Genomic DNA, 26,116 nt, shown 5'->3' with positions numbered 1-26,116 from the left:
TCATGCAAAGACTTCTCTTGTTCTCCACTGGCAGGTAATTTCACTCGGATAGAGAATCAATAGGCTGAACGTGGAAAGGTTATCGCTGGAAGGTCTGTTTGATTCCACGGATCTCTCCTTTCTTATTAAGGAAAAAGATACACTGCGCTAATTACTATACTTCATTGACTATTCTCAGGTCAGAAAGCGCACTTCCGACTTCTTGTCCTTCCATCGCTGAGAGGATGATGGTATCTGCCAAAAGCACATATTTGGAAGTACATCCCGGCACAAACACACACACACACACACACACACACACACACACACACACACGGTTTCATAGGTAAAGATTTCTTCCCTGACATTGTTTTACCTAAAATAAGGCAACTGTGTGGCCACTGTCCCAACCCGGTTACACTCATATTACATGTGTCTATCAGCCTGAGGAGTAGTTTGATTCAGGTGTTCTAGAAGTCATGATGTGGGCTGTGTCTGTTGAATTCCCAGCGATGCAAGGGGACACACCCTGTGACTCATTCCTTAATTGAGTGCTGATATTTGATTGGTTTATCGCGCACCTGATGGGTGGGTGGGGTGTTCGCGGTTGGTGGGGGTGAGTTATATAAGGGCTGATGCGGCCAGAGAGCTCGTCATTTGAAGACTCTCTCGGAAGAGATAGCATCTTTCTGCAACCTGCGGTCCCAGCCGAAAAACCCTGTGATCCTTGTTCCGGGCGACATGGAGGACGACTCACTCTACTTGGGAGGTGAGTGGCAGTTCAACCACTTTTCAAAACTCACATCTTCTCGGCCAGATGCAGCTTTTGCTGAAATCCAGCGGACTTCTCTCTCTGAGAAGTCATCACTCTCATCTGAGACCCGCGTCGACCTCTGTGATGATTTGGCTCCTGTGGCAAGACAGCTCGCTCCCAGGGAGAAGCTTCCTCTGAGTAGCAGGAGACCTGCTGCGGTGGGGGCTGGGCTCCAGAATATGGGAAATACCTGCTACGTGAACGCTTCCCTGCAGTGCCTGACATACACACCGCCCCTTGCCAACTACATGCTGTCCCGGGAGCACTCTCAAACGTGTCATCGTCACAAGTGCTGCATGCTCTGTACTATGCAAGCTCACATCACATGGCCCCTCCACAGTCCTGGCCATGTCATCCAGCCTTCACAGGTGTTGGCTGCTGGCTTCCATAGAGGCGAGCAGGAAGATGCCCATGAATTTCTCATGTTCACTGTGGATGCCATGAAAAAAGCATTCCTTCCCGGGCACAAGCATTTAGATAATCACTCTAAGGACACCACCCTCATCCACCAAATATTTGGAGGGTACTGGAGATCTCACATCAACTGTTTCCACTGCCATGGGATTTCAGACACCTTTGACCCTTACCTGGACATCGCCCTGGATATCCAGGCAGCTCAGAGTGTCAAGCAAGCTTTGGAACAGTTGGTGAAGCCCGAAGAACTCAATGGATAAAATGCCTATCATTGTGGTCTTTGTCTCCAGAAGGCGCCTACCTCCAGGACGTTAACTTTACACACTTCTGCCAAGGTCCTCATCCTTGTATTGAAGAGATTCTCTGATGTCACAGGCAACAAACTTGCCAAGAATGTGCAATATCCTGAGTGCCTTGACATGCAGCCATACATGTCTCAGCAGAACACAGGACCTCTTGTCTATGTCCTCTATGCTGTGCTGGTCCACGCTGGGTGGAGTTGTCACAACGGACATTACTTATCTTATGTCAAACTCAAGAAGGCCATTGGTATAAAATGGATGATGCCGAGGTCACTGCCTCCGGTATCACTTCTGTCCTGAGTCAACAGGCCTATGTCCTCTTTTACATCCAGAAGAATGAATTTGGAAGACCCAGTTACAGTGTGTCCATAGGCAGGGAACCGAGAGCTCTTTGCGTGAAGGCAAGTGAATTGTGTGTGAAATAAAATGTCATGAATAAATCTTGCAGTGGAGTATTTATTTGTCTCACTTTGTAATCAGTGAATGAGCTTTAACCAATATCAATGCCTAGTGCCTACCCCCCAGAGATAAGAACTTCCACTCTCTTATGTGTAACCATGGCCTCTGGATTGCTTATGACTCTGAAGATAATTCTCCTTTCCCCCAACGTTTCAGAATCACTTCAGGTGGTGGTAACAGATAACACATCAGTCCCTTTCTCTCTCTTTTCTCTTCACTCAGGAAAACTCTCACTGAGACAAAGGAAAATCCTATGGTTTACTGGGGAGGAAGAATTCCCTCAGGAGTGAAATTGGTGGCTCCTTCCTCCCTGTCAAGTCTCTTCCTCAGGATTGCCCCTTTGTCTCTTCAGGACTCTGCTCATCAGGCCCGAGATGCCCCCTGGTTGTGCATACCTGGCCTGTGAAGAAATAAGAGGAAGGAATGGTTCCAAAAACCATACTATGCTCACTCCACCATCGCCCCTGACACCATGCTGACTTCATGAGCCCTGGGTCAGAAGCTGTTTCTTTACACCACTAGGCCTTGCCTCATGGCCTAAAGACGTCCCCATTTCTTACATCTTATAAATTTTGACAAAACCCTCAGAGCCTAAATCTTCATTCCTCATAGGCCAAAGGGAGATACACCAGAATTCTGTCCCTCTGAGACTGCAGGACATATCAGCTTCCATCGACATGAAATTTTGCACCAAATGTAGTTACTGCAGTTCCACTTCACAATGAGTGACTGGAAGTTCAGACAACATCTCAGACTCTATACAGTTTCTATCCAAGCTCATTTGGTTTGACAATGCTTTTACTCTATAAATCAGCTGTGAGAACACTTAGGATTCATATTATTTAGTCTTTTAATCAGTCTGTTATTATTTTCAATGTATTTACTAGACTTTAGTTTAATATTTCTGATAAACTTTGATGCAAAAATTCTCGATATAATAGTGGCAAACAAAATCCAGCAACATATCAAAAAGCTTATCCACCAAGATCAAGTCAGCTTCATCCCTTTGGTGCAAGGCTGGTTCAACATACACAAATCAATAAATGTAATTCACCATGTAAACAGAACTAAAGACAAAAACCCCATGATTATTTCAGTAGACTCAGAATAGATCTTTGATAAAATTCAACATTCCTTTAAATTAAAAACCTCATGAAACTAGGTATTGATGGAACATATCTCAAAATAATAGGAGCCATTTATGACAAACCCAGAGCCAATATCATATTGAATAGGCAAAACCTGGAAGCATTCCGTTTGAAATTCGGCACAAGGCAAGGATGCCCTCTCTCACCACTCCTACTCCATATAGTACTGGAAGTTCTGGCCAAGGAAATCAGGCAAGAGAAAAAAATAAAGCATATTCAAATAGTAAAAGAAGAAGTTGAATTGTCTTTGTTTGCAGATGACATGATCCTATATCTATAAAATCCCATCATCTCAGCCCAAAAGATTCTTAAGCTTATAAGCAACTTCAGTGAAGTCTCAAGACACAAAATCAGTGTGCAAAAATCACAAGCATTCTTATACACCAATAGACAAGAAGAGAGCCAAATCACAAATGAGCTCCCATTTACAATTGCTGCAAAGAGTATAAAATACCTAGGAATACGGCAAACAAGGCAAGTGAAGGACCTCTTCAAGAAGAATTGCAAACCACTACTCAAAGAAATAAGAGAGGACACAAACAAATGGAAAAACATTCCATGCTCATGGGTAAGAAGAATCAATATCATGAAAATGCCATACTTCCCAAATTAATTCATAGATTCAATGCTATTCCCATAAACTACCATGGACATTCATTACAAAATTAGAAAAAACTACCTCAAAATTCATATGGAATGAAAAAAGAGCCCATATACCCAGGACAATCCTAAGCTAAAATAACAAAGTTAGAGGCATCATGCTACCTAACTTCAAACTATATTACAAGGCTACAGTAACCCAACAGCATGGTAGTGGTACAAAACAGACACATAGACCAATGGAATGGAATAGATATATCAGAAATAAGATTGCACATCTACAACCATTTTATTTTTGATGAAAACAAGCAATGGGGAAAGGATTCCCTATTTAATAATAAATGGTGTTTGAAAAACTGGCTAGACATATGCAGAAAACTGAAACTGTACCCCTTCCTTATACCTTATACAAAAATGAACTGAAAATGGATGAAAGACTTAAATGTAAAACCCAAAACTGTAAAAAACCCAACCCCATATAAAAGTGGGGAAAACCAGGGTACAGTGGCTCATGCCTGTAATCCCAGCAGTTTGGGAGGGTGAAGTGGGCAGATAACTTGAGGCCAGGAGTTCAAGATCAGCCTGGCCAAGCTGGTGAAACCACGTCTCTACTGAAAATACAATAAATTAGCCGGATGTAGTGGTGCGGGCCTGTAATCCCAACTACTCAGGAGCCTGAGAGAGAAGAATCACCTGAGTCTGGGAGGCAGAGGTTGCAGTGACCCGAAATTGTGTCACTGAACTCCACCCTGAGTGACAGAGCTAGACTCTGTCTTAAAAAATAAAAATTTAAAAATTTCAAAAGTGAGCAAAGGACATGAACAGACACTTCTCAAAAGAAGACATTTATGCAGCCAACAAACATGAAAAAAATGCCCAACATTACTGATCATTAGAGAAATACAAATCAAAACCACAGTGAGATACCGTCTCATGCCAGTCAGAATGGTGATTATTAAAAAGTCAAAAAACAACAGATGCTGGTGAGACTGTGGGGAAATAGGAACACTTTTACACTGTTGGTGCGAATGTAAGTTAGTTCAACCACTGTGGAAGACTGTGGTGATTTTTCAAAGACCTAGAATCAGAAATACCATTTGACCCAGCAATCCCATTACAGAGTATATGCCCAAAGGAATATAAATTCTTGTATTATAAAGATACATGCATGCGTATGTTCATTGTAGCACTATTCACAATAGCAAAGACATAGAACCAACCCAAATGCCCATCAATGATAGACTGGATAAAGAAACTGTGATACATATACACCATGGAATACTATGCAGCCATAAAAAGGAATGAGATCATGTCCTTTGCAGGGACATGGATGAAGCTGGAAGTCATTATTCTCAGCAAACTAATGCAGGAACAGAAAACCAAATACACATGTTCTCACTTATAAGTGGGAGATGAACAATGAGAGAACACAGACACAGGGAGGGGAACAACACACACTGGAACCTGTCTGGGAGTGAGTGGGGAGGGAGTGCATCAGGATAAATAGCTAATGCATGTGGGCTTAATACCTAGGTGATGGGTTGATAGGTACAGCAAACCACCATGGCACACATTTACCTATGTAACAAACCTGCACATCCTGCACATGTAGCCCAGAACTTAAAATGAAATAAAATAAAGTTTTAAAAAACTTTATTCTAACCTTCCAAAATGCAGGGATTACAGGCGTGAGCCACCGTGCCTGGCCCTGTTTTAACATACGTGAACAAGATTTAAGACATCAGTTTGAAAAGAGCCCCTCTATGGCAGCAACATGAATTCTGTCAAACCTGAAGCAAGAACAAACATCAAATTTACGGTGAAGCTGGGGTACAAAAAATGGTGAAATAAATTATTCTTTATGAAAAGTCTATGGGAAAAATGACCTGAAGAATCAGTCATTTACAAATGGATACCTTATTCTAAGAAGAGATAATACAATGTTGAAGATGAAGTCAACAGAGGAGGGACATCCATACCAATTTTTGAGGAAAAAAAAAATCGTTTCTATGCCCTAATTGAGGAGGATTGACAATTAACAAGAGATATTACAGCCAACACCACAGACATCTCAATTGGTTCAGGTTACACAATACTGACTATAACGTGAAAGTTGAGAAACTTTACATTTGATGAGTCCCAAATACCCTTGTGCCTAGATGAGCAGTGGACAAAAGCAGAGCTATTAGTGACTATTTTGAGCAAGCGGAATCAAGATCCTGAAGCATTGTTTTGAAGAATTATAACAGGGAGTGAAACTGGCTTTATCAATAAGATCCTGAAGACAAAGCACAATTCAAGCAATGGCTACCAAGAGGTAGAAGTGGTCCAGTCAAAGCAAAAGCAAACTTCTCAAAAGCTAAAGCCATGGAGGTTTTGGGGATGCTCAAGGCATTTTGCTTGTTGACTTTCTGTAAGATCAAAGCACGATAACATCTGCTTACTAGGAGAGTTCTTAGAGAAAATTAGCAAATACTTTTGCAGAAAAGCGCCCTGTAAAGCTTCACTAGAGAGTCCCTCTGCACCACAACAACACTTCTGTTCCTTCCTCTCATCAAACATGGGTAATTTTGCAAGAGTTTTCATGGGAAATTATTAGGCATCAACATTACAGTCCTGATTTGTTTTCTTCTGACCTTTTTTTCCCTAATCTTAAAATAACTGTAAAGGGCACTCATTTTTCTTTAGTTAGTAAAAGAAGACTGCATTGACACGGTTAAATTCCCGTTACCCTCAGTTGTTTAGCAATGGACTGAATGGCTGGGATCATCCCTTAATGGAGTGTCTGGACCTCAATAGAGCTTATATTGAGAAATAAAGTTTATATTTATATTTTTATTGTTAATTCCATTTTTCACTGACATTTTTAAATCCCTTCACAATTCACCTTTGTCTCAAAGGTATTTAAATTTAGAAATCATATCAAGTGTGAAATAAAGAAAATTAAATAGAGAGAGGGAGAACAGAATCTATAAATATGCATGTTTGTGTACATACATCCATATACATACATATGTGTGTGCATGCAGTAATTTTATTCTCCTAAAGCAATGCCTCTGCCTTCCACCCTCACTGCACATGTCCTAGTCCTGTGATGTCCCTGGAACTGAGCACCTGATTTCCTTCTCTGCCTCCCACATGAACAGGGAATAGAAATGGAAACCACGCTCTGTGGTTGCTGTTGTGAAAATCCATGTTCCCCACAGGCTGAGTTTGGCATCTTACATTCTAGTTCCCATTGTAAAAAAGCAAGCAACAAACAAAAAATACAAAAGAAAAAATAAAATAGTTGAAAGTCTAGAGCCACAGAGTTTCCGGATCCACCCACCGCCCACGGTGACCTCCACAGCCCTCCAGGCCTGAGGACAGCTATGCCTGAACAGCCTGCCTCTTCACCATCCACGCAGGAAAGTGACTTTAAACTTCAATAGCTATTACTCTGTTCCACAAGGAACCAGGTCAACATTCAAATTCAGTGGTCTGACAACTCTAAGCTTTGGCCGGAAAGTATTGGAAACATTTAATGTGCAGTGGATGAAGCAGCCCGGCCCCACTGCACACAACACACTCACGGGGACTCAAAGGAAGAGACTCAGGATCTGCTGGGTGGAACTGAGGACAGACCCAGAAACACAGGGGGTGGGAGGGGGTCAAACCAGGAGGGCTCAGGACCTGACCTCCTCCTAGGCCCTGCCCCTCTGGAACTCGCAGTTTTTTCTGACCCAGAAGCGGATTTCACTGATGGAAAAGAAGTTCAGTATTTCTGGTCCAGCCCAGTAAGCTGCTCCCATTGCCCAGCCTTCCACACCCCTGCAGACGTCACAATGCCTGCACCCACTAACCTGACAAGGGAGCTATGCATCACCTGGAGACAGTCTTAGGCCTGCACTCCTGTGATGGGGTCCAGGGTCTGTGTCCATTTCTGGTTAAAATTGCTGTGAGGCTGGTCGCTGTCTTGGCCTTCCCTGCTTCCTCTCTGTTCACTTCTCCCCTCCTCACTCCATGTGAAGTTTTTACTCAGGAGATGGATTCTCACCCCTCTTGGAACATCAAGGACAGTGCCCGGACACCGCACCATCCCCTTGACCCTGGGATTCTGTAGACCTCAGTCTTCTCCTGAGGTCCCCTCCCTCCCTACCTCATTTTTTCCATACTTCTGGGGCCTGGGCCTGCTACACCTCAGGCTTCCTCTTCACAGTCACAGAGTGAGGGAGTCCCCTTCATCCTTGAGCTCTGGCCACAGCTCACCTGCTGCAAGACACTCAGCAGCTTTCAGTAGTTCATGCAGACATCTAGCTGGAAGTGGGATTTCCTGGAAGGAAAGCAGGAACCCAGAATTACACTGAATTCTAACACCAGGGCCCAGATTCCCCTTCTGCATGGGACACTAAGCTGCAAACACTACATAGGCACTTAATGCTCAGCTGTCCTTCTAACATCTGGTCCAATTGTGTCCCTCCTCCTTGGAATATCTCAGAAAATGTATCTACACCTAGAGTTGTTTGAAAGCATCATCCTATGTGATTGCAGACCATCAGGGGGTGCAATGGGTCCTCACCAGTATTTCTACTCTTCTTGGAAGACTTAGAATATCCTGCGGCTGCTCAGAGGGTCAGATTCCCATCTCTGTGTTTCAGTAAAACTTCAGTCTTCCCCGGACAAGTGAGGAGACAGAAAATGTCTAGTCTCTGGCACATCTTTTGCAAGCAATGGCGGCTCCCAGGAATCAAAACTATCAACGAATATATTTTTGAGACTCTGGTCAAAAGAAGAGTCATCCTGCAATTTCAGGTAGGATGGAGTGGTTCTGTGGCTCCTGAGGTGATTTTGAAAAGATCTTGACTCTCAGAAGGACCAAGGAGGACATTTCTGGCATTTCCAGACCAGGAAGACTGACTGACGGACCTCCAGTATTACTTGGAAAACTTTTTGTTGGACAGCTTTGTAACAAGAGGATCTTGCTTTGGCTTTCAGGCCTTCACATAGGTTGTTTAGATAATGGAAGTGTTTCTACATTTCTGCATAGGCTTAGGATGCCTTCTCAAGTCGTCCCTGCAATTATGAGACAGTTGCTTTCTCCAGAGGTCACTTAGAATAATACAAGAGGCTTCACCCTCAAAGGGACACCAGACAATATAGCCACAGTTCAGCCAAGATTATCTGTATTTACATACCTGTGAAGTAACACTCCTAGTTATCTCCATTAACTTGGACATCTTTCATGAATAGGGAAACTCTAGTGATTGTTATATAACAGCTGCCACAAAAATTAACCAATAAAAAGAAATGATATACGAAAAATAATTAATAATCATGATAATGAACTCAATGACCTAAATAGTATGAATTTTAATACTGGAGACATTATAAACGTAAGGATACAAAAATTAATGTGGAGCTTCCCCTAAATATATGAAAACTTCACAGACTGTGTCCTCCTTGTGTAATTTGGAGTCAGAGTCAAAGAATTTCTCTATGAAATGTGTTCCATGATGGCAAACATCAAAAACAGGAGGTGAAAGAAAAGCAAGCCGCAGGAGACCATGGGCTAATATGAACATTTGTGTGCAAACCTCTCTCATCAAGAACTACCAGCCAGAGGTGAAGGGACTGTGATTTGTGTCCTGCCCACCACTGGGCACACAAAAGCTTTCAGTAGTGCAACCAGATGGTTGGTTTGGCCTGGCTCCCTGCAAGGAAGACACGTCTCTGATCCCCACCAGCCCATCAGTCCTGGAACTCAGAATCCTACATGCAGTAAACATGAAGCTCCAACTCCATAGCTGACTTTACCTCCTTACTGTCCTTCTGCCATCTGGTGTTTCAGGTGCTCTCCAGATCTGGACTTCTTGGCTACCCTACCTTTACCAAGTGAACTCAGGATGTATCATTCTCAGTCTTCTCCTGCCAGTCCAAAGTGAAACTCACCAATACAGACATACCCTGAATGGGCTTCCTTGGAATATTTAGAAAACAATGAGCTTGCTCAGGGGTGGTGTGAGCTCTAGGAGTAGAGTTACAGTCTCCCATGGAAACCCGAGAGGACTTAGAATATTCCCAAAGGCCTAAGCAGTCCAATCTGTCCTGGAAACATCAGGAATGATATACTCGGTCTTCCTGAGGCTCCAAAATTTTTCTAAATAAACTCAGAGGTTACAGAACCATTTTTCTCTTGAGAACTGAAGTGGAGTTATTTGTCTTCTGCCAGCACTTCAATTTTTTTTTCTCTAAGTTAGATTTTGAGCCCAGAAGTAGATATTCCTTGTATTTGATTTACACAGGGAGCTTCCTAGAATGCCCGTGCCTCTGGATAGTTTCTGCATTCACTCAGGTATTGACAAAATGCTGCAGTTCTACTGAAAATCTCTGAGATGACCATTTGATCACCTGAGTAACTTTAGAATGTGTCTTCTATGGAAGCCCTGGAGCCTCCCTTCTGGTATTTCATACATTGCTGGTACCAAGTACCCAGGGTGAAACCCTCCATCAGACATTGTTGGCAATTCCAGTATGGAGATGACACTAACATGATGGGGCTCAAGAATCAGATGGTACAAGACCAGCTGGGAGGTGAAGTTTCAGTAGGCTAGGGGCTTAATGTTCCATGCACACCAGACTTCTGAGACTCAGGAGGTGGGTATGGATCTGTCTGCCCAGTGCCTCTCATCTACAGCCTGGACCAGCTATTTCTTGGGGTGCACTACTGAAGGCTTTTGTACGAGCTGTGTCAGGCAAGACTCTGGCCAGACCCTTTGCCATAGTCCATTTGTAATGTATTTCCACATGGCACAGGTATCTCCACTTTTGCCCATGCTCTCATGTGGCTCAGAATAATTCTCCGTACTGCCACTCTTCTTTGCCTTCACAGAATATATTTCAAGATGTAGCCCTAAGCTTCCCCATCTAATCAATAACATGAGGGCTCATATGGGAACATTGTCACAGGCTTACAGGAATATGTTCTTAAATATCTGCTTTTTATTACTCTCTTCATTAAATTGACATATCATCACCATTATGATTGTTATTAATGTTATTATATTGGTACAGTTCTTTATCATGGATATATTTGTGGTCATTTTTATGTAATGTTGAAAAATTTTTTTATGTTCCTGAAGACTGTTGAATTTGCTGAAGATGATTAAAAGACAACCTTAAAACATAAATACCACAGCAACCCCAGGACTCCTACTGTACTGCCTGGTGTCCTGTAGAAGAATGGGCTTCCTGAATTATTCTTTTATTTTTCAGGCAAGTACCTATTCATACCAGCATAAGAGACTGATGAAGTGCACCCTCATCTTGCCATGGGCTCAGAAAGAGTTCATACATCGGCTTTATCTGATAGCAACTCTGTGTGTAGGCCTGTGAGTCCTAGAATGCACTTTCTTTCACCAACTAGTCCACGTAACAGTTTTCTAAGTCAAATCCCCTCTCCATGCTTGGATAGGTCATGAATGGCTTTCTGTTACCCACCTAAGATGAAGGGATATTGCCAAATCAGGTTTGTGGCCAAGAAACTTTTACCTGGAGTGGCAGGAGAGGGCCTACCTGTTCACCAGAGTGTCTGTGAATTTTCTTTTTTCTTCCTTTTTATTTTATTTATTTATTTATTTATTTATTTATTTATTGAGATAAAATGTCTCTCCGTCGCTCAGGTTGGAGTCCAGTGTCGCCATCTTGGCTCGCTGCAACCTCCAACTCCCAGGTTCAAGCGATTCTCCTGCCTCAGCCTCCCGAGTAGCTGGGATTATAGGTGCGTGTCACCACGCCCGGCTAATTTTTGTAGTTTTAGTAGAGAGGGGTTTCACCATGTTAGTCAGACTGGTCTCAAACTCCTGACCTCATGATCCGCCTGCCTTGGCCTCCCGAAGTGCTGGGATTACAGGCATAAGCCACCGCACCTGGCCTCTGCAACATTTTCTAAGTCAGTATAGAAGCTCTTTGAACCATCTTTTCAGTCAAAGAACTCATGAAAAAGTCCTCCAAGAACTTGTGACCTTCTGGAAATTGTCAAAATCTCTACAGGTGTCCAGAGTCATCTAGATCTGTATTGCAAGCTACTGACTGGGTTCCACCACTATTAAAGCAAATGCAAAATATGCCATGCCCACCAAAAAAAATCCAGAAGCCGTGGTATTTAGCTGTTTCCATCTTTCTTGCCTCCTGCAGGTGGGAGAGTACTGAGTATCATGCCCTCCTGCAGCCTCTGGAGGACATGCCAGTGCCTAGAGGTACCAGTAGAGAGGGGCCATGAAAGAGCAGATGACAGCCAGGTGGCTGGGAATGACATTGTCCTGGGGCTTATTGCTTGTCATGAACTCTGCCACTGGGCAACATGTGCAGGTGTGGACCCGTGCCTTCTCTGGATCCCTGCCCCATCAGCCAGCTGTCTTATCTCCTGAAAGCTGATAGGTGTTGGTCAGCATGGTGTTCCAGGACCAGGGTTATATTAACATTCCCTCTTAGGCTGAAACACCAGAAGTTAACACAGGAGTCCCCAGGTGTGCACATACTAACCTCCAGATTGTTTTTCTTCTCGTTCTAGATGTTCATCCTTGCTTTTTGGGACTTGAAGTAACCCTACACAGCCAAATATTTATGCCTATTATCCACTTATGGAAAACTTATATGTCCCAAGTCCATAGGGTTAGTATTATTATCAGTATTAAAACCATTAGTACTAGTATCATGATGATCATTATTCCTGTTAATATCCATCAATATTTTTATTACTGCCATTGTTAATATGGATTTTTCATCATTGTACAGCAATGAATATAGTTTATCCATTCACAAATGGTGTTCAGTTACTAAAGATGACTGCAAGGCATGTGCTACAGACATATACACACACAGCTATCCTGGAGACCCAGGTTTGCCACCAATTGCTCTTTCGTAAGTTGAGATCCCCCAGTACCCACCAGTTTTTCAGGACTCAACCTGAGCTGGCTCAGCTAGACCCGGAAAAGTTTCCTATGCCCAAATGTACTTGGAAAAATTTTAAAGTCTCTTCAGGGCCCAGTAATAGCTTTTGGCAGCTTCTAAGATCAGGGAGGGTTTCTTGGCCATTCAGAGCCATTCAAATATTCTAAGTAAACTCAAGGATCCAGAAACCCCACTTGCAGTCATGAAATACCAGTGAATAGCCTCTGTGAGTCTCTTCAAGGTTTTCAAAGATGACTGCCTGGGAAGGCTGGCCAGGAAGTCACCCAAGCCCAACCTTCGGCAGGATGTTCTATATCAGCCAGGGACCCAGGGAATTGCCATTGAACAGAAGGGAGGAACAGAGACAGCACGCCTGAGCTTCTGGAAACATTCTAAGTGCCCTTGTTGGCCCAGAAAAGACTGGTGCTACCATATGAGGCACAGACTTGGCAACCTACCTACTCCAGGAACCACAGAAGGTTTAAAGGTTCCCAGGAAGTCCCAGGAAGGGCAGCCATGGCCCTTTAGAGCCATCAGATTTTATTCTAAGTCTACGTGGGAGACAGTGCTCTTAGCTTCATAAAAACACCAGTGGAGGTGCTAACACTTGCCCCAGTATCCAGTCTTTTCTACCTCATCTCAGAGCCAGCAGTAACTATTTCCCAAAGCTGCTGTGCAATGAAAGGGGAATATTCTAGGTGCTCTCCTGTGCCCACGAAATTCTGTGGCTGTGCTGAAAGGCAGGAGATGTCCTCCGGAATGCTCTTCAGAAATCTGACAACACTGGTCAAGATTAAAGACGCTCAATTCAACGTCATACAAAACCAATCCCCCCACCCCCCACAAAAAAAAAATGCATAGTGAGACAAAATGATGAACACACCTGCTAATAATCATAAATGACAATAATAACAACAATGATGATCTTAGTGATAATGCCACCAACACTGTTAATGGCAATAACAATAAACCTGAGGTAATGAGTGTTAGGGTCCCGATTCACCGATGTGAAGGATGGCGACAATTTCTGGCCTCACAGAAATAAAGGAAAAGTAAACACCTGGAGGAGGAGGAGGTGAACCTGGAGCTCCCGCCGGCCTCTGGGCGCTCCTTGGTGGAAGGAGAGGGACTTGGTCCTGAGCCTGCCCCGGATCCACCTACACCAGAATCCCAGAGTCCCAGTCCCTGGATGGGCTCAGTCCCACCCAGGCCAGACGCCCCGGAGCCCCGCAGCCCGGGTCCTCCAGCCCTCGCTGCCGCCGCTTCTCGCGGAGCCGGGGCCGCCCCCGCGCCACCTCAGCCTCTGCGTGGCTCTGGGAGGGCAGCGCCGGAGGATGCTCCGGGCCCAGCGGGGTCATCCGGGCCCAGCGGGGGTATCCAGCCTCAGGCTGATACTGACGCCCTGAGGGCGCGGAATAGGGCGGCCTGCGCAGGGCCCGCCGTCTCGGGCCTTGCAAAAAGAGCGGCCTCTCCAACGCCCCTACCGGAACCTCCCCGGAGGCCCCAGCCCCAAAGCCAGGGCGATGGCGCCTCCCTGACAATGGGTGAAGAAAACTCAGGTCCTCCCTGGAGACCCGGCCCGCCGCGGGAGGCAGACCGCGCATGCGCCCTGCATGGCCGGAAAGGTGGGTTTCATTGCCCTCTGCCGGCCATGAGGTGGCAGCACAGGACGTTTGGTCTTAGCGGTGGACCTGAGTCTGAATCACTGAAATTCAGGTGTGGATTATTCAGTACTTTCTTTTGGAAGATCAAATGGAAATTGAGTACGATATCTTGTGCTTTAATTAAAGAAGATGGAAATAAAGAAGCAAATTCAAAAATCAGTATACAAAAGTCGATTGATTCCCTCTATGTGGAGGGAAGACGAGCTTGAATAAGAGAAGCATTCTGTGTTACGCTTTAATAATGGCTGGAGATCTGCCACCATGCATTTGTCAAATCCCATAGAATTTCACAGCACAAATAGTACATCTTAATGTGGCTCAGGAGTACATATAATGTCAGCCACAGTTTGTGGGTAAATTACATATTTAATTAAATAGATTAAACAATAAATAATGATATGAGCTCTGCCTGGACACAGTCCTTGCCTCTCCAACCAGTTTGCCAAGGGCTTGAATTTCTTGCTCATTATCCTCACACTTGACATAAACCCTGGCTGCAGAGTAAAATCAATCACTCGTGGAGATTTTTTAATATGATGATGTGTCAATTTCAACCATGGATAAGGCCATTTAGCCTTAGTAAGGCCGATCGTATTAAGATTCTGCCTGTTTGACAAAATTTCAAGTCATCCCACTTGATATTCAGGAAACATTTTCTCTTGAGTTTTAGGTTCAGTGGTGAGGCTCCTTCACGGACAATACATTTTCCAATTCTGAGGACAAGGCAGAGGAGGGCCCCTCTGTGAGAACTTTCATTTTGCTTCGGGAAAAGTACATTGAATCAAATATAGAAAAGGCTTGCAAGGTGGCTGACAGGTTCGGCTGTTTTATCATGCTGGTGTTTTATCTTCTGGACTGCAGTAAAAGGAGCACAGCTGTGTCTGTCTCTGTGTAATAACTCAGGACTCACCTGAATAAAATGTGGGGTGTCATGAGATGAACTGCTACTTCCAGTTAGAGAGGCTCCAGGGACAAAATTTCAAGAGCCTTCTGAGGGATAGAAGAGAAGAGCTGCCTTATTCTCTGATCCCAGGTAACTGCTCAGAGACAGAGGCAAGAGCTGGGGACACCCAAATGCATATACTAGGGGTCTTTGATACAGCCTCCATTTCCCTGCTAAATCTATGCAATGACAAACTGAGAAATCTAGCAAGTGGGGCTGAAGATCCCTGGTGTGTCAACTCGAGGGTTGGATGGAAACAAGTGGTTTTGGTGGACGTTGAAGTAAAGGGAGGTGAGCTGTGAGGAAAGAGCTGTTGAAGACTGGGGAGACTCAGAAGTTGGGGTAGAATCTCCACCAAGAATCTCACCCAAGGAGTTCAGATGCAAATCAGTTTGTTAGGGCTGCATAAATGAAACAAGGGCTTCACCAACATACTAAGTTTTTTCAACAACAGATTGTATTCTTTCAATATTTGTAAGTATTGCTCTTTTGGAAAAGTTTAATGAGATTTCTTATATAATTCTGCATTCAATTTATTCCTTGGTCACTTTGCTATTATGCATTTACATGCCACATTTTTATGAATAGATATTTTCTCAAATTTCTGAATTATTTTGCTAAAGTATGTGTTAAGAGTTTTTTCTAGAGGTCCACCTTCTTGACTCACTTTTCTGATGAGAAATCTATCAGGTTTCTCCACAGTGATTTTCAAGTTTGATAGCTCCTCAACGTGAGAAACTTAATGTCAACTAAGAAATGAATTACCACTAAAGAATTTTCTTCTTTCAAGATGCTAACCCTGTTTTGTCCAGTGTGAAATCTCACATGTGCCACATGTGTTGCTCTATGAAGAAAGGATTTCTCATGATTTTTCATTGCATAACTTCTCCAGTAAGAAGTATTTGGTATTCCAAGAGAATTCATTGCCCTTGGAAAGACTTTCCCTTGTTATTTAGCTTATGAAGGCTTTCCTCTCTTATTTTCCATTTTAGCAGCATTTTGTCACTCTTCTCTTGTGAACATCAAGCCTGGTGCTTGGCTGAATGTTCATTCACAGAAAAATACAAATAAAGGGTTCATCCAAGTAAAGTTTTCTCATGTTATTTGACAATAAATTGCAAATAAAAACATTTTCACACTGAATGCAGAGTTAGAGATTCTCTACCTGAAAGTCCCACATGTTTTAAGTTAAAGCTGTTGCTGAAGACTTTTAGTTGATTATGCTGACAGTTTCAGCTCTCTCATGTCATTTATGCTCAGATCACTAACAAGTCTTTGGTACATACATGTCATACAATTTCTCTTCCATATGAATTTATTGATGTGGGCTGAAGAATAAAGGCAACTGAAGTATCTTCCATGTTGATTACAGTATTTCTTCAAAATGTGAGTCCTTTGGCATGTTTAGATGCTACAACTACAGCTGAAGTCTCTTCCACATTCCTTACCTTCGTCATTCCTAACACTGTGTCATCTAAAGTCCGAATATGTTCTGAAGAAGTTTATAATTTTCTCTCCAGGGTGAATTTTCTGATGCTTTTTAATATTAGTACATTGACTGAAGGCTTTCCCACATAAATGGCATTCATATGGCTTTTCTCCAGTGCGTGTTCTCTCATGTCATCTAAGGTCGGAAGACAGACTGAAGGCCTTCCCACATAGAAGACAAGCATGAGGTTTCTCTCCAATGTGAATTATTTTGTTTCCTCTAAAGCCAGAGCTTTGACTAAAGGCTTTCCCACTTTTATCACATTCATAACACTTTTGTCCAAGGTGAGTTCTCTCATGTCTTCGAAGGTTAAAGGATTGAATAAAGGCTTTCCCACACTGATGACACTTATATGGTCTCTCTCCCGTGTGAGTTTTCTCATGTCTTCTAAGGTGAGAACACTGAGTGAAGGCTTTTCCACATAGATGACATGCATATGGCCTCTCTCCAGTGTGAGTCATCTTGTGCCGTCTAAGGTAAAAGCAATTAGTATAGGCCTTTTCACATAGATTACATTGATATGATTTACCTTTAGTATGAATTTGTTTACGTGGTTTAGGGGACAAAAGATTACGAAGGGATTTTCCACACTGTTTGCTGACATAGGGTTTCTTTCTACTGTGAGTTAACAAACACTGAGTTATTGTGGAACTGTGAGTGCAATCTTCTCCCGAATCATTATATTCAAAAGGATCCTCCAGAATGAGAGTTCTCCTTTGGGACAAAGATTAAAAGCTCTTAATGGTTTACCCACATATATCTATACATTAATTTCACTACCTTTGAATCCTAGACCAACCATTCAGTGGTAGACCCCAGTTGAAATCTTTCCAATGTTTCTTGTGTGAAAGGAAATTAAATTTTGGGACCCCAAACTCATTTAACCAAAGGGAAAAATCAAGCTGGGAACTGGGTCACACAAACCTGCCTCCCCCTTCTGGTTCCTAAATAATATGACTACAAGATGAAAAGCTACATGCCTCCCCCATATTTTGCCCACAAGGAAATTCCTCATGAGCTGTTAAAATTACACCACGGCAATGCAAACTGATAACTTGTCTTTACAGGTGCAGTCATCCCAAGTTCACCAGACACAAATGCATATCTGATTGTTTCCCTGCCCCCATTTTGCCTATGTTGTCTTATGTAAAATGCAGCTTTCCTGCATTATTCCTCTGCCTCATTTGTTTATGTCATGTTATGTAAAAAAATCCAGATTCACTGAGCCAGAAAAATGCATGAATGACTATTTTTTCTACCCACCTTTTACATGAAAATTGTGTACTTCTCAATATCCCAGCCTTTCCCCTTTGAATTTGGAGCCTTCAAAATCATCTTTGGAGAAAGGCATACACCTGTCCCCTGGGTGCATGTCCTTAACTTTGGCAAATAAATCTCCTAAAATGATTGAGACTTGTCATTTTTCTCGATTGACATTTGCATACACATTATCTCCTGCAGACACAGGTATGTTCTCTTCTGTAAGATCTCAACTGCAGAGTTATTGCATAATTGTGATGATATCAATATCTTTCAATGTCTGGGCATGAGCAATGTATATGCACTTGCTCTATTTTAGAGATCTCATGTTATGATTTAGAACAGAGGTCAATGTATTCACTAAATTCAAAGTCTCCAGTTTTTTTCTTTGCTTAGAAAGCACTTAATGCCAGCCTAATTACACTCAGGTGATTGTGCTTCATTATTAACTTAACCCATTACCATATCTTTAACTTAGATGACTGGTGTACACAGCTATAAAACTTACCATTGTCATACTGGTGGATGCGTCTTTTCTGATGATAGGATGCATGGATATCATGTGTTTTTTCTTAAGGGCACTTTCCCTGTCTGAAATAATTGAAAAATAAATTGTTACATTGGTATTATGGTAATAAAATTGTTTGAAAAGCCCCAAGGCCCATTTACTTTTTTTCAAAAATTGACACTTAGATGTGGCAAGTGTGTCAAATGAAGAAACTACTTGAATAGAAGAAATAGATTGTACAGTGTCAGCAATTAGAAAAGATTTTTAAAATTAAAATGTGAAAAGAGTTAAAATGGAGATGAGATATCAGGCAAGTAAATAGAGGGATAGTCTTCACAGGGGTATCAGGGAAAGGGTCAGCATATGAAAGTTTAACCCCAGCCAAGTACATGAATTGTCTTTTTCCCAAAAGTAAAAGAAAAGAAAAAAAAGAGGACACAAGAGTAACATCTGACACATGAACAAAATGATAATAACATCTAAGGAATTCTGCTCCAGTAGCCTAACCTACATTTTAGAAATTATCACTCATTTAATAAAACCACTAATTAATATTCAACTGATATTATTCATTGAGAAAGCACCTCCTCCTATTAGGACACAGGACCCTGTTGCTTACCTGGATTCTGGTCTTGAAGAAATACTCTTCCTTCCCGCCACAGCTCTTTTCCTTGCTCCAGCTGCAAAATTATATAGGATTTGCTTATCTGGTACCCTGTTAGTGGAAAGAATACATGTGTTTTGAGTTCACTGTCAATAAATGTGCATTATCACCAAGTGTAAGGCAGGCTATCAAGGAAGAATAAAAACAGTGAAGGTCAGCTCAGGCCACAAGACCTAGAACACAGAAAACTCCCCAGGATTTTTCTGACCCAACTTGAGACTAGAAAATAAATCCAAACCAAAGGGCCATCAGGAAAAGGAAATTCAAAACAGTCAGGACCTATGAATGCTGAGTCCATGCCTAAGTTCCAAGACACAATGCATAATACACAATCTTTTCAGAAAGAGAGTAATTAAATCTCTGCACATTGTGTTTATTATTATTCTCACGCAGAACAAAAAAAAACATTCGATTTACAAAAATAATTGGTGTTCTATATAGAAAAGATATTGCTATTGTTTTCACTAATTGGTCTCAGCCTAAGCATAGACTAAAGCAGAAGAGTTATTTAGAGAGTATTTAATTTAATACATTGAAAATATTCATTATGTTCCCAGGTCTGTTATGAGTATTAGAGACTGAGTACCAAAGACACCATGAAATACTTGTCAAGATTACATTCTAATTGAGTGACAAACTAAATAAAATAAAATAAAAAGAAAGATATTTATTTAAGATAGATTTAGAGAGTTCAAACTTTTTTCAGATGAGATCTGTGAGAGAATCAGAGAAGAGATTAGAGTGAGATATGGGGAAGCTGTTCTAACACTTATTGAATGAATGAGCGAATGTGTGTCTACATATGTACGTGAATGTTGAGGGACTCACCGAGGGACACCAGGTGACTGATATTTTCCAGCATCACATCTCTGTACAGCTTTCTCTTGGATGTGTCCATCATGTCCCACTCTTCCTGGGTGAAGTCAATAGCTACATCTTCAAAAGTCACTTTCTCCTAAAACATCACAGACATTTTAGTTTAGACAGAGAAATCCCTTTCAATGTCCGGAAGAGGAAGGCTGAGATGATATAGCTAGGAGCTGGGTATGCAGAATACTCAGTGTTTTTGGTTCCAGCCAGTTCATTCTCAGTACTAAGCTGGTATCTGCCTTTCAGATTCACTCACAGAGATATACCCACTCTGAATCCATTAAACTTTACTATAAAGAAATATTGCATGAGGTGTGGCATAATATAACCCAGATATTTTTCAGTAATGTCTTAATCACCTCTACATAACTGCTTATAAAATTTTCACTTGAACATTCATAAATAAAATGAAATTTACCATGAATTTCAAGTAAATTACAGATTTGTCACAAGGCAAATAACCATGATTTACTACTTTTTAAACATGACTGCGATGAAATAAATTATTTCTCTAGATGAAAGACAGGTTTCTCCCCAATCAAATGGTTAAAAGACCAATGATGTGTTTTGAATAATCTAATGAACTAATAGAAAATGTGTTTCCTACTTAGCAAATATTTATTAAATATAAGTCATTGGTCCCTTATTCATTCAAAAGTTAGAAAGTAATGAACCAGACTCCAGCATTCTTCAGAACTGAACGCTTTATGCAGAATATAGGATTCAATTCATACATATAGTCTCTCTAATGTTATATAATTCAGGTGTTCATGAAAAGGCTTGAAGACAGTCTAGCAGCACAAGACAAGACTGCTGAGGCTGACATACTGAGGAAATCTTAGTTCGATGATTCCTGTGATATGAAGCCTCCTGTTCTCAACTTTCTCTCGGCAGTCCAAACATCAGTTATCATTGTTTCTCTTTTAAATTGACCTTCTCACTTCACTTGTTCAAAGATTAAGAAAGCCTCTTCATTGTTTTTTTTTTGTAACCAGCCCTTATAAAGCATTTCCACAGAACCCTAAATTGTACTCTATCTACTATATTCCTTCTTCTGAGTGTGCAACCATAATTAAATAATTATATTTCCTATATGTTACTTTCACTTACCAGAAGGCAAAAAAGTTAATTACCAAAAGGTAAAATGAATGGGGATAAGAATAGTAATGACTTCTTTAGTTGTCCTTTCACAAAGTTTTTAAAAGCTCAAATATATTTTATAAAACTCTTCTTTTCCCTCAACACTGCACAGCTCTTGCCCAAGTCCTATCACACTGGATTTATTGAACTCAGCTGCTAGAACATCAGACTCATTGTTGGGCTGTGATGTTCTGCTCTTCACTCATCTCTGTCGTCTGCATTCATCACAATCCTAAGTCTATTTCAGCCAACAGTACAGTTAATGGGTCAATTATTTCCCTATGAGATTATAGGATGGATAGAAGAAAAAGAAATATATAAATGAAACCTCTCATATCTTTTTTTGTAAATAGTCTTAATAAGGGCTGGAATAAAGTAGTGTAATATTAGAAATTATATTGATAATTTAGGAGTCTTTGACACACGATACCCAACCTAGAGTCCTGAGAAAACTTAATTGGAGGCCAGATACCTGAAAGCCTCCTGACTGCATTTGGAACACCCAGGCTGGGTGGATTTTACATCATAAAAACAAACAAAAAAAGAATAAAAATGAAACACCCATGCAAATTGGAGAAAACTGCCCATTTGCCAGCAATATGGGTATAATTTCAGTAGAAAGAGGCATCCCCTACTCACTAGTGAATGCATTGTCAGGAACTCAGTTTCTCTCTGTCTTCCTCTGGATTTCCACTTGCAGACACTTTAGGCACTAAGAAAAGCTGAGGTTGGAGAAAGAACATGTGAGACACCAGTCTTGTGCACAATTTTCAGATCAACCTGTGATGAAAAGCCAGACTTTCACTGAAGTGTGACACCAGCTGCACCACAGCCTAACCAACAGACACAAACACGCAGAGGCCTCTCCTCTTTTCCCGTGGTCAAAATTAGGAAGCCTATGACTATGGTTGCTAATAAACAAGGAACACAGATATCTTGTGAATGAGAACATCAAAAGCACGGAGTTTTGTATGTTAATTGGCACAAGTCCAGATATTCAATTCCCTCACTGATTTTAAAACACAGGGATCCCTGACTCCATCCACATGTGGAATATGATTTCCACCTATAGATAAACACTGGGATTTCTCAGATTTTATTATCCTAGCTTTATGCCCTAGCAACGTTTCTCCAACACCCACCACAGCCTTCTGAAGCCTTACTCCACTTTTATTTTCACTCAACTCTGACTTTTGTATTTCCCCTTGGAACGTGGAAATAATCAAGTAAGAATCTGTTTTAGGGTCGAGTGCGGTGGCTCACGCCTGTAATCCCAGCACTTTGGGAGGCCAAGGCAGGTGGATCACCTGAGGTCAAGGGTTCGAGACTAGCCTGGCCAACATGGTGAAACCCCATCTTTACTAAAAACACAAAAATTAACTGGGTATGGTGGTGCTTGCCTGTAATCCCAGCTACTCAGGAAGCTGAAGCAGGAGAATCTCTTGAACCCAGGAGGCAGAGATTACAGTGAGCTGAGATCCCACCACTGCACTCCAGCGATGGCGACAGAGTGAGACTCTGTCTCAAAAAAAAAAAAAATCTGTTTTAGGATGGGGATAATGAATTGAGGGATTTATTTCACTTAGAGGGTCAACACTCCCATCCTGCTAATCTAGCCCTTAAAATCTCCTGCATCGGAAATTAGCAGGAGTACCCTGAGTCATGGTGTTTCTGTCCTGTGTATACAGTCACAATCGTCTAGGATGCTCAGAAAATACAAAATGACATAGGGGTGGGAGAAATTTAGCAGCTCAATCTGATGTTTCACTAACGTGGTATCTAAAATTCTTGCAATCATGGTTTATATTAGTCTTTGTTAGCTGCAATATCTGTGATTATCATGATACATATTTGCTGAGAAATACCCATGTCCATGTATATATTCGTACATAGATATGTAGGTATATAGGTGCATATGTTTATATGAGTGTATGTGTTTGAGACAGGGGGAAACATGCATGTATTATTTCCTTGCTAAAAATATAAAAATAATTAAATATATTTTATGTGCAAGTGATAATTATGTGTCATAAACAAAAAATTTACTGACCCATTTGTACATGAAGTCCAGGAAAAATAAAAAGGGTAACTTTGTATTAATTGTGACATTGTGCTTACAGATGTACATATATTTCCTTATTTAACCCTCATAATAATCCTGCTGATTATAATTTATTTACCAATTTAATAAATGATCAACAGGGTTTGAATAATATGACAAAATTACAAAATTAGAAAATGGCCCAGCAATACTTTTAATTATATTCTGCCTGTCACTGCCTCTTCTTGCTTTTTGACAAAATTACTCCCCTAACCAAGGTTCTCTATGATTCTGGGGACTCCAGCATTTAGACCCCAGTTCCCAAACATCATTGTGTCTATTTTTACTGCCACATTTAATGCACATTTACAGACTTCAACAAGCACTTTTCAATATCAACTTTTTTCTTATTCCTTGGACTATTTTCTACATCTGTTCATCAAGACTCCAGTAACATATGACTCCATCTGCCTGTCCCTTCCATGAATGTACCTGACAGTACATGTATTATGTAGCCTACAATTCAAGCAGAACAGATATTCCTTCAAAAAAATAAGATATTAGAGAATGCCGACAAAGCTTCAGTGTAACCAGCTGTAACCCTTAATATTATTACCATGTAAACTCTTCCTCGAATATCAAAATAAGATTTGGGCTTTAGAGAATATTTGTGTGTAATTATAACCCAAACATGAACTAAAAGTAATTTAACTGGTCATATACAGACCGTGCCAGGGACAAAAAAGGATAAATATTATAAGAAAGTTAAAGCATACTTATTTCATAAAGGACTCTTGTGTGGAATCTATCAAAACGATTTCAAGATGTAGAGATTAAATATATTTTAAACCACATACATACACAAGCAATCTTTAGGAGAAACTTTTAAAAACTTATGTTATAGGTCTAAAATTTTCATTAATTCATGGAAAAAAAATGTATTGACAAACTTTTCACCAGAGCAGAAATAACAACTTATGTATTTGGTGACTTCAAGATGAGAGCCTGCACAGCTTAGTATCTCCCTCCAGTTGTCTCTCTCTCTCTCTTTTTTTTTTTTTTTTTGGTAGAGTTTCACTCCTGTTGCCCAGGCTGGAGTGCAGTGGCGCGATCTCGGCTCACCGCAACCTCCACCTCCTGGGTTCAAGCAATTCTCCAGCCTCAGCCTCCTGAGTAGCTAGGATGACAAGCATGCGCCATCGTGCTCGGCTAATTTTGTATTTTTAGTCGAGACGGGGTTTCTCCATTTTGGTAGGGCTGGTCTAGAACTCCTGACCTCAGGTGATCCGCCAGCCTCCGCCTCTCAAAGTGTTGGGATTACAGGCGTAAGCCACCGTGCCCGGCCCAGATCTCTTAAAAAGTCATGAGGAATGAGCCGTTCTGCATCCTCAATATTACCTTAATATTTTAAGGGCACCCGTAAAAATTAAGAGGCCAACTTGTGACTTCTTAGCCCTTTCACGGCTATTTAGACACACGTTAGTGAAGTATTAGGAATGCAGTATTAGGTCTCAAGTTCCTGGACAACAAAACCATGTTCTCCAACAGATCTTCAGTAAAAATAGCTGATGTCTATATTGTTTTGCCTGTCCTTTCCCTTCCTTTTAATTCAGAACTGCAGTCTCGAAAAGTGCTATTATTTAGTAGATTCTCTCACTTCTCAACACCAGTGCTATACAATGTTGAATGACATCTGAGGTGCTAGGGAAACAGCAGCTCACATTCTAGCAATGAAAAAATAGAAAAGCAAAGATCACCACAGAGTAAAAGAGAATAGATTTTTTTAAAGTATGAAACCAGAACGAATATATATCAGATTACACTATAAATGGAAAATCCTATTATCTTGACGGGATTGCAAGTCAGATTACACTATAAATGGAAAATCCTATTATCTTGACAGGATTGCAAGCCTCTCATGGCTTCCAACCTCCAATATATTCAAAGCAGTTCAGGAATGGTGAAAGTGGAATGGAATTTAAAATTATTCTAAGGTTTTATGTGTGAAAGCATCATGCCCTGAAACAAAATATTTATTTTTAAAGTGCATAATGAACACTGCATACAAAGTTTATGTAACAGGAGAGAGGAAATATCTCACATTTTAAAAAAAGGAATATGCAACATATTTACATACAATAAAATTAAATTAAATTAAAATACAGCAATGGAAGACAGAATCTAACATCTGAAAATCAAGGGAGAAATCTATTTTAAATAAACTTGTCACAATTTTAAAAGTAAGTTATGAAAAATAATAATACCTGAATATAGTACATAAAAGTACCAATACAATAAAGCTAAAACAATATCGATGGAAAAATTATTTGCTGTGCATTATTTTAAAAAAATAATCTAAGTACTTACCTCAATAAGGTAAAAGAATGAAATTTAAAAATTGCTTGAGAAAATCTGTGAAAGGAAATGAATATAGAGAAGCAGAATATAATTTAACTATAAACCACACAAATAGAATTTAAAAATAAGTGGTAGCCAACATGCCCAACACGATTTTCTGTGATGAAAGAAATTCTCTATATCTGCATTGTCCAATGCAGTAACTACCACACATATGTAGTTACAGAATTTCTAGTTTGGCCAAGACTTTGGCTATTACTACTAAGGATATGTCATTTAGTTATTTAATTATAATTAATTTACAGTTTATAGTCACATGTGACTAGTAGTTACTATATTGGCCAATGCAGATCTAGAATCTTGGAGGAGGCAGTTCAAATAATGAGATATGGTCAAAACAAAAGTGGAAAAGGCACACAAATAGTGAACACAGATTATGAGAATGTGAAGTAACAATTCACACAATAAAATGTAATAATGAGATGCTGCCTTGATGGGACAAATGTCTAATGATATACAAGGCTTGTCTTGTTAC

The 26,116-nt window shown here is 40.9% G+C and overlaps 1 long non-coding RNA gene and 2 pseudogenes across 1 annotated transcript in view; 1 reads left to right on the top strand and 2 right to left on the bottom strand.

Annotated features, from left to right (window-relative positions):
- FAM66A (family with sequence similarity 66 member A) overlaps window positions 1-14,248 on the bottom strand; it is a 48,983-nt gene extending 34,735 nt beyond the window's left edge. The window contains exons 1-2 of the long non-coding RNA NR_026789.1: window positions 13,705-14,248; window positions 7,965-8,028 (exon numbers count right to left, since the gene is read on the bottom strand). This is a non-coding gene — a long non-coding RNA (family with sequence similarity 66 member A). The remainder of the gene's footprint in view (window positions 1-7,964; window positions 8,029-13,704) is intronic.
- On the top strand, window positions 721-1,913 carry LOC100421094 (ubiquitin specific peptidase 17 like family member 2 pseudogene; annotated as a pseudogene).
- ZNF705CP (zinc finger protein 705C, pseudogene) lies at window positions 14,410-21,905 on the bottom strand (annotated as a pseudogene).

Source organism: Homo sapiens, chromosome 8 (genome assembly GCF_000001405.40).
Source record: "Homo sapiens chromosome 8, GRCh38.p14 Primary Assembly".
Classification (NCBI taxonomy): Eukaryota; Metazoa; Chordata; class Mammalia; order Primates; family Hominidae; genus Homo; species Homo sapiens.
The sequence above is the reverse complement of the archived record's forward strand: the minus strand, read 5'-3'. Positions and strand labels throughout refer to the sequence as shown.